The sequence below is a fragment of the Homo sapiens genome, chromosome X, assembly GCF_000001405.40.
Source record: "Homo sapiens chromosome X, GRCh38.p14 Primary Assembly".
Taxonomy (NCBI): Eukaryota; Metazoa; Chordata; class Mammalia; order Primates; family Hominidae; genus Homo; species Homo sapiens.
The window spans coordinates 6,452,131-6,462,279 of record NC_000023.11 but is presented as its reverse complement, the minus strand read 5'-3'; positions in this window follow the sequence as shown (position 1 = coordinate 6,462,279).

Genomic DNA, 10,149 nt, shown 5'->3' with positions numbered 1-10,149 from the left:
AACATAGAGCAGCCACCTGTGGCGATGTTTAACCTTTTATCTGTAGCTATCTGCTTAGGAACAAAAGGAAAAGGCCACTTCTTGCATGACTCAGCTTTTAGCTTAAATTTTTGTTTTGTTTTTCTTTTGCATAGCAAACTGGGGTCCTGAGTTTTTATTTTCCTTTCACAAGGGAAATTCTTGGTTCCTGGAGTGGAAGCTGCCTATAAAATTGGAGCGTGAGAACGAGCTGGGAGCCACAGGCATGATCTAGAAAGAGGAGGATGATCTGTGATCCATGTCTTTTTCTCTCTGCCCTCTGATGCCTAGACATCCTGCAGCAAAAGCTTGGCCCCTTATTCACAGAGCTGAATGCACACCGGAAAAGGAGTCCAGTAAAAGGTAGAGCAGCTTCAGGTCCCATGGCTACCCCCATGCAAAGGAGGTGAGGCCACAGGTAAGAGCTAACCACAGCTCTCATTTGTTTCCCTAATTTTGACTGCAAAAAAGCAATATGGCTGCAGCTTCACTTTTGCCCTGATGTTGTTACAGAACCGAACTGGGGTCTGTTCGCCTGGCACAGCAAAGTCAAACACTAACATTAGGATGGCAGCGAGAGGAAGTGAAGCATTTATTTGCAAGCACCAAGCAAAGAGAGTTGGACAGTTGATGCCTAAGATCCCACCTGCCCGGTGGCTTGCAGGTAAGGGTTTGTAAACACAGGGGTAAATGTCAGGAAAGTAGAAGCTACAGGCAAAATCTTAAGTCAATACAAGGAGGTTATACATTGCTTTTGACCTAAAAGGCAGGATATCTTGACGCAGAGGACTCACAGGTCATAGGTAGATTCAAGGATTCTCTGATTTGCCATTAGCTAAGGGAAAGAAGTTTTTTTAAAAATTGGGGTCAGCAGAAAAGAATGTTAGCTCTGACTCATGGACATGACTTCCTCCAACCCCCTCAGGAAGACATTTAAAATAAAGAATGGTGGTTAGAGTTCAGTCCTCGGTTGCCCCGTTGCCCCGTAACTGAGGTCTACATTCCAGTGGATGCATTTTGTGGGGGTCTGGGTTTCTGAACAACAACTCAGGGACTTATGTCAAGATGTTATCTTTAGTTCCTATAGGAACTAAAACTAGTATCTCCTGGCTCTAGCTTCCTTGGTTGTTGTTTTAAAGTACCATTACCTTCTTGGATATCAAGTTACTCATTTACTTTTCAAGGCTAGCCAAATGCCTGGAATTTCCCCTGAAGGAACTCGAGATTTTTCTTCACTTTCATAAGGCCCTTAAGGGGGGTCCCGGCTTCATCACCAAACCAGGATAAAAATGGCTTTTGTGGGGCACAAAAGATAGAAACACACAGGTGGGAGGATTCTAGGAAAAGTAATTTAGTCTAGGCAGGTTGACACATTACAAAATCACAAGGCTGAAATCTTATCCTTATATGAGTAATTTGACATTAGGCAATGTGTTTTAAAACCTGTCTTTTTGAGAGATTTACTTTATATATTTATCCCATTATGGAGAACAATAGTGAAAATTCTAAGATGGATGTTAATTAAAACAAAAAAATTTAAAATGTCAAAAACTCAGTTATGCAGGTGAGGCTCTCTTTTCAATGGCAGCATGAGAAATTAGTGTCCTACATCTACTTTTCTGAAATAACAGCCCCTGGTGGTTTCAGGGATGTGTGTTGGTCACAATAAATGCTACAGAATACAATACCAATGTGGGAAGATGACAGAAAGATCCTGGAAACCTCAACCCCACCTCATTCTTCAAGATACAGCTCAAAAAGCTCTCTGAATAACGCAGAAAAGCTAAGCTGACTACTCCTGCTTTGATCATGATGATGTCTTGCTCAGAATTTCAGGATAGTCCAGGGATCACCGAAAGAGATCACCAAACTTTCTCTATGAAGAACCAAATACTACAAACTTCCGTCTTTGCCGGCCACGTGGTCTCTGACTCAACTGCTCAACTTTTCACTAACGTGAAAGTAGCCACGGACCATATGCAAAAAAATGGGAGTGGCTGTGTTGCAATAAAACTTTACTTGTAGATGCTGATGTTTGAGTTTCACATAATTTTAATAGACTTTATTTTCTTAATATCAGTTTGAGGTTCATAGCAGAATTGAGAGGAAGATACAGAGAGTTCCCATCTACCCTCTACCCCCCCACAAACAGTCTCCCCAACTACCAACATCTTCCACCAGAGTGGTGCATTTGTTACAATCAATGAACCTACGTAGACATATTATAATCCCCTAAAGTCCATAGTTCACATTAAGGTTCACTCTGTCTTTACATTCTGTGGGTTTGGGCAAATATATAATGACTACTATAGTATCATACAAAATGGCTACACTACCCTAAAAGTCCTCTGAGCTCCACCCTATTTCTCCCTCCTCCGAATACCTGGCAACAACGACCACTGATCTTTGTCTCCAAGCTCTTGGCTTTTCCAGAATATCCTATGGGTATAACTACATAGTATGTAACCTTTTCAGATTGGTGTTTTTCACTCAGTGCTATGCATTTCAATTTTCTCCATGTCTTTTCATGGCTTGATAATTTATTTCTTTTCAGTGCTGAGTAATATTCCATTCTCTGGATGTACCACGGTTTGTTTATCCATTCGGCTACTAAAGGGTGACGTCTTGGTTGCTTCCAAGCTTTGGCAATGATGAATACGGTTGCTGCAAACATCCATGTGCAGGTTTTTGTGTGGACATACATAAGTTTTCAACTCCTTTGCAGAAATACCAAAGAGTGCAATTGCTGGATCATGTGGTAACAGTAGTCTGATATAATGTGCATGTCACAAAATAGTGTTCGATTTTTTTCCCAATTATTTAAACATGTAAAAAATTATTTTACCCATCATACAAAATAAGCATAAGATGAATTATGGCCTACAGTTAGAGTGTGTGGACATCTGGTCAACACTATGATGTAATGTTAATACTTTTTTTTTTTGAGACAGAGTCTCGCTCTGTCACCCAGGCTGGAGTGCAGTGGCGCGATTTCGGCTCACTGCAAGCTCTGCCTCCCAGGTTCACCCCATTCTCCTGCCTCGGCCTCCCGAGTAGCTGGGACTACAGGTGCCCACCACCAAGCCCGGCTAATTTTTTGTATTTTTAGTAGAGACGGAGCTTCACCATGTTAGCCAGGATGGTTTTGATCTCCTGACCTCATGATCCACCTGCCTCGGCCTCCCAAAGTGCTGGGATTACAGGCGTGAGCCACCGCGCCCGGCCCTGGTAATACTTTTTAAAGTGTGTATTTCCCTAATGACTTTAATCCTGTTGAGGGTAAGGATTGGGTCTTATTCATCTTTTTTTAAGTAAAAGCAAAGGAAGTTTAGAGCTACAGAGTACAGGAAAATGGCTGTTTCATAGACAGCCGGGGTACCCCATAGGCAGAACAGCCCATATTCATCTTTACACCATGAACAGTTAGCATAGTGACAGACATAATTACCAATAGAAAGACTAAAATATAAAATGAAAATTCTGCACTTTCATCAGTGATAACCACTGAAAAAAAAAGACCCTGACTCAAAGAAACAATCCACAAATTTTTTCTACAACAATGTTGGAAAGAGATTTCTGCACCACCGTGAACCAAATACATCTATACTGTAATGCCAATAGCTTAAAGGGATATTCGGTATTGAATTTTAGTAGTCTCCCAATAATAAATAAATTTCCTCAATTGTGTCTCCATTATGCATTGAAAATGCCAGAGCCCCAGAAGATTCCATAACAATTGTCAAACTGAAGCCACTGAACGGATGGAAACCAAGGTGGGGTTTGATGTCCTACTTTGACAACTGTCTTACAGACTTGTTTGTGAACATGCACATTAGTTTAGAAAGAAGCACATTGAGTTTTGGAGGCCTGATGCAAATTAATTAATTAATTCAGCCTACAGCAACAACATCTATATCAAAGGACTGCAGTGGTGCCAGAATCATCAATATTTAAAACACGAGTTTCCATTTCATTTTATTTTTAGAGCATCGCTTTCAAGAATTTATTCAATGCCCTAATAATCTATGCTAATTTTCAGGTTGATATCAGGATCTTGGTATTTTTGGGCCCAAGCTAAGGGAGGGTTCATGTGAGTCTGCCTCTTCCCTAGATTGTCGGAAAAGCCCCCAAAATATTTTCCAAAGACTTTGATAATCAAATAGGTCTCGCCAACCATGTTGGTTCCCAATCTCTGCTACAGTCTGACCATGACCTTGCACCTGCAAACCTTAGCTTACTTCTTTTCCCCATGGACTCACTCCTAAGTTTCCATTTTAGGCAGAAGGATTTAAGAGACTTGTCAACACTCTGAGACTCAATCTTCTTATTGTTGGTTCCTTGGCTCCTGTTCTGATGACTTTCGGCCTTGGGACCAACATCCAAACCTGAAGACTGCTCTCTTTGCTCTATATCTGAAGACTTAGTGTTTTGCTCAAGCCTTGTCTGATCCTAGCACCCTAATCTTATCAGGGTAGGGGTTCTGCTTTGGTCTCACCAGATCCCTCCTCAGAAGGGAACCCGGTTCTTGGACATGACCCATTACACATGGCTCCGTTAACTCTCAACACACATTGCAGCAACAAGGTCTCCTCTCGAGTGTGTGAAGCGTGGCCTTTGCAGACTCTCCTATTGTCTTCCAAGAGAAAGGCTCTTGGAATTTTCTTTATACTGATGTACTGCTTCAGACTTCCCATCTCCTCCCAGCCAGGCAGCTGGGTTGCACCTTCCTGGTCTTCCAAGGTGGGGAGGGTCTAGCTCCATGCCTTAGTTCTTGCTGCCTCTGATTGGTCAACTTCCAGAAGCTAGACCATCCAGGTTCAATAAATGACAATGCTTACCTGGTGATAAAGTGTGCCTGGAGGTTTTAGATTTAGGGTGCATGTTTATAACATTGCTACATAAATTTCCAAAACATTATCTCAGTTGGCGATTACTAGGTGTAATGAATTGAATTGTGTCACCTACATATTCAAATCCTAACCTTCGGCACCTGTAAATATTATGCCTCTTTTTGGAAGTAGGGACTTTGCAGGTATAAGCATGTCAACAGGAGGTCATATTGGATTAGGGTTGACCCCAACACAACAACTGGAATCTTTTTATGATAAATTAGAAGAAGGTTTTGTTTTGTTTTGTTTGTGACTGAGTCTCACTCTGGTGCCTAGGCTGGAGTACAGTGGCATGATCTCGGTTCACTGCAACCTCTGCCTCCCAGGTTCAAGTGATTATCCTGTCTCGGCCTCCCAAGTAGCTGGTACTACAGGCGTGAGCCACCATGCCCAGCTATTTTTTTTTTTTTTTTTTTGAGACGGAGTCTCGCTGTGTCACCCAGGCTGGAGTGCAATGGCACGATCTCGGCTCACTGCAACCTCTGCCTCCCGGGTTCAAGCAATTCGCCCTGCCTCAGCCTCCCAAATAGCTGGGATTACAGGCACACACCACCAGGCCTAGCTAACTTTTGTATTTTTAGTAGAGACGAGGTTTCACCATGTTGGCCATGTTGGTCTCGAATTCCTGACCTCAGATGATCTGCCCTCCTCAGCCTCCCAAAGTGCTGGGATTACAGGCATGAGCCACGGCGCCCCCACCCCCATATATATATATACATATATATATATATGTATATATATATATGTGTGTGTATATATATATATATTTGTACATTTTAGTACAGACGAGGTTTTGCCATGTTGGCCAGGCTGTCCTCGAACTCCTGACCTCAGGTGATCCACCTGCCTTGGCCTCCCAAAGTGCTGGGACTACAGGCGTGAGCCACCACGCCCGGCCTTAGAGGAAGGTTTGAATATAGAAACACACCAAAAGAGCCCCAAGGGATGATGAGTTAAAGAGTGCAGTGATGCATCTACAAGACAAAGAATGCCAAGAATTTCCAGCCACCTCCAGAAGCTAGGAAAGGGGGAAGGAACGGATTCTTCCTCAGAGCCTCCAGAGGGAACCAACTGTGGAAACATCTTCATTTCCAACTTCTGAGCTTTAGGGCTGGGAAAGTATAAATATCCATTGTTTTAAGCAAATGGTCTTTGTGTTGATTTTTTTTTTTACAGTAGCCAGAAGAAACTAATATATTAGAGTAAAGGATGATTAAATGAGGCAGCTCTGGAGAAAGAATAATCATTTTATTCCCAATACATTCAGTTAGAAAGGCTTGATTCTGCAATGCTGGGCAATATGGTTTAAACTTCAGGTTTCTCCTTTCTCTTAATTGTGGGTTTTTGTGATGGTTAGTATTGAGTGTCAATTTGCTTGGATTGAAGGATGCAAAGTATTGTTCCTGGATGTGTCTGTGAGGGTGTTGCCAAAGGAGACTGACATTTGAGTCAGTGGACTGGGAGAGGGAGACTCAACCTCAATCTGGGTGGGCACCATCCAATCAGCTACCAGCCTGTTTAGAATACAGCAGGTAAAGGAACATGGAAGGACTAGAATGTCTGAGTCTTCCAACCTCCATCTTCCTCCTGTGCTGTATGCTTCCTGCCCTCGAACATCAGGCTCCAAGTTCTTCAGCTTTTGGACTCTTGGACTTACACCAGTGGTTTGCCAGGGGCTCTCGGGCCTTTGGCCACAGACTGAAGGCTGCACTGTCAGCCTCCCTACTTTTGAGGTTTTGGGACTCGGACTGGCTTCCTTTCTCCTTGGCTTGCAGATGGCCTGTTGTAGGACCTCACCTTGTGATTGTGTGAGTCAATACTTCTTAGTAAACTCCCCTTTATATATACATCTATCCTATTTGTTCTGTCCCTCTAGCGAACCCTGACTAATACAGTTTAGTCTTCCTAATTTAAAGAAAATGAAGAAACTATTTATGCTTTTGCCTTGAGTTATCATCCAGCCTAATGGCTTCCAGGAGCACCTTTATGTGCTGACCTCCAAATTTATATCTCCGGTCTGTTCCCCTCACCAAGCTGCAGAAACATGTACTCAACTGCCTTCCAGTAGCTGTTGTTTATGAGCAATGAATGTAGGTCATGATTCTTACAAGCATTTTATAAATTAACTCATGCCAGTCCTTAGAGGTACACATTGTTACTTCCTTCCCACTTTCCAGATAAAGAAACAGAGGCACAGAATGGTTACGTTCTTGTCCGAGTTCATACCACAGTAAATGAAGTATCAGGAAGTAAATTGATGTAAGATGGATATCAGTCACACTCCCTGTACCTGCACCAGACAAGCGTGGTTTAATATTAATTTATTTAATTTAATTAATATTAACTAAGCAGCATAGTTGCATTATGACTCAGCCCTTGGAGTCTTGACTCAATAGCTCAACTTTTCTTTTTTTTTAAAGAAATTTTTTTAGAGACGAGGGTCTCACTCTGTTATCCAGGCTTGAATGCAGTGGTACAATCACAGCTCACTGTAGCTTCCACCTCCTGGGCTCAAGCTGCCTCAGCCTTTTGAGTAGCTAGGACTGGAGGTGTGCACCACCATGCGTGGCTAATTATTTTCTTTATTTTTGTAGAAATGGAGTCTTGCTATGTTGCCCAGGTTGGTCTCCCACTCCTGTCCTCAAATTTTTCTCATGCTTCATCCTCCCAAAACTCTGAGATTATAGGCGTCAGCCACCACTGCACCCGGCTGACAACTTAACATTTCTATTGGTCAGCTTTCCATACTTGGTAGAGAGATGCCAATTCTCCATTTATATGAAGTGGTGATGCTCATTACACCCACTTCATAATGTTGCCTCAAAGATTAAATATCTGGCATGCATCAACAGCATAATAAGTGTTATCATGACTGCTATTATTATCATTTGGAGGACGTTAATAAAAATCACAATAATTATACTTATTATGGATTTTTTTTTTAGTATGATGTGTACAGGGAATGCTCATTATCTGCAGAGGACAAAGAGCATTCCAGGGTGTAGTCTTGACTCATAATAATAATCACAGAACTTTATTGTGGACAACAAGACAAACTGATTTCCAACCTCTTCCCTTTGTTGAAGCAGGGGGTTTATCATGGAAGAGAAAGAGTCAAAGGGGAGGGGTCTGCAGAGAGAAGGGGACCTGAGAACCACACAGAAATGGTACTGAGGGCCAATCTTAGAAGAGAGCCCAGAAGGTTCCTGAATAGATAGACTTAAAGTAGATATTAAAGAAAGAACATGGCCAGGCATGGTGGCTCACCCCTATAATCCCTGTGCTTTGGGAGGCTGAAATGGAGAATCACTTGGGTCCAGGATTTCAAGGCTAGCCTGGGTAACATAGCAAGACCCCATCTCTACAAGGGGAAGGCACCTTTAGTTCCAGCTACTCAGGAGGCTGAGGTGAGAGGATCGCTTGAGCCCAGGAGTTTGAGACAAGCCTGGGTGACATAGAAAGACCCCATTTCTACAAGGTAGCATGCACCTTTAGTTCCAGCTATTCAGGCTGAGGTGGGAGGATCACTTGAGTCCAAGAGTTCGAGGACATCCTGGACAACATAGTGAGATGCTCTATCTACAAGGTGGTAGGCACCATTAGTCCCAGCTACTCGGGAGGCTGAGGTGGAAGGATCACTTGAGCCCAGGAGTTCAAGGTTGCATTGAACTACTATTGTACCACTGAACTCGGAGTGAGACACTGTCTCTAAAAATAAAAAAGAAGGAAAGGAAAGAACACACCAAGAGAACCATGGTGAGAAGGACCTGCCTCTGTAAATTAAGACTAAACAGGTAAGGTCCCTGGAAAGTCTAGAACCCAACTGGTAGGTGCTATAAAAGTTACAGTATAAGGTTTTTGTGCTGAATTTTCCAACAAGATCTAGGGATATGTGCATCTGTATAACTTTAAACATCAGCTGCATCTACATGGTGAGGCACAAAACCAGCACAGAGTGTGGGGTTGGTCACAGTGAGTACAGGGAGTTTCAATGTCTAGGATCAGAGAAGACTGATTTCAGGAACTCCTGCAGCAATGGGACAGAAACACCATATGTGCGTTATTCACAATGTGTTCATTATGCAGCACTATTCACAATAGCATGTTCTTGTCTTGTAGGGAGGGCCCTATAATCATCTCTGTGTGCATTTTATAACTATTAGCAGCATTTCATTAGTAATAATATCGAGCTGGAAGTTGGTAGCTGTGTGCTGGTGTTTTGCCTCACCACACAGAAGCAGCTAATGTTTAAAGTTCTGCAGATGGATACATCCCTAGATCTTGTCAGAAAACACAGCACAAAAACTTAATACTGTAAATTTTATAGCAGGTACAATTTGGGATCTAGATATCTCGCTTTTATTTACACTAGATCATAACATCACAAGCATGATTTAGGAAATAAGCCTCCACACTTAAAAAGGATGAAGTCTAAGCAAAGTATGTTTATGGTGTTGGCTCTCAGAGATTATATAGTCTTTCTTATTCAATTTTTGAAAAGTTTTCTGCAACAGGCTTCTGATAATAACTTCATCTTTTAATGACAATGCTCTCCTAAATACTTTAAAGTTTCCAAATCAAAAGTGGATAGGTAATAAACACCTGGAAGGTAGAATGAATCTGATAATTATTTCTAGACTATTTCCAATTCTTAAAGTTGTGGACAACTATTGTTAATCTTCCATGAGACTTTAGAAACTGTATAAATAAGAAATGTAGGGTTTTCCTTCATTCCAAACAAACAATATAAGCTAAAAAGAGAAATTATATGATTGGTAAAGTAGGAAAATGTTACTTTATAAACATCAAGTGTTAAAATTAAGGAGACTTAAGGGGAGAGAAGGACATAAAGTGTTAGATGGTAATGTCCCCTGGCCAACTATTATATTTTTGGCCAAACATTATTAGATGCTATACACCAAGAGTCTACAATCTATATCCCAGGGCAAATCTGGCTGTAGTGTTATGACATTTATATATATTGGTTTTCATGCACAGTTTCTGGCTTATAACTCCTAAAATCCTTGGGATCTCCTAAGTGCTGTCTTTTATGTGTCTTTTGTCTGATAGGTTCAGGGTAGCACTGGTCACCAAAAAGACCAAGGCCGGATTAGAGGGTAGGGACTTTTAGCTGCATCCCCTACCTCCAGAGAGGGAAGATGGGCTGAAGATCAAGTTGATCACCAATGGCCAATGTTTTAATCAATCATGCCTACATCCTGAAGCATCCAGAAAAATCCCA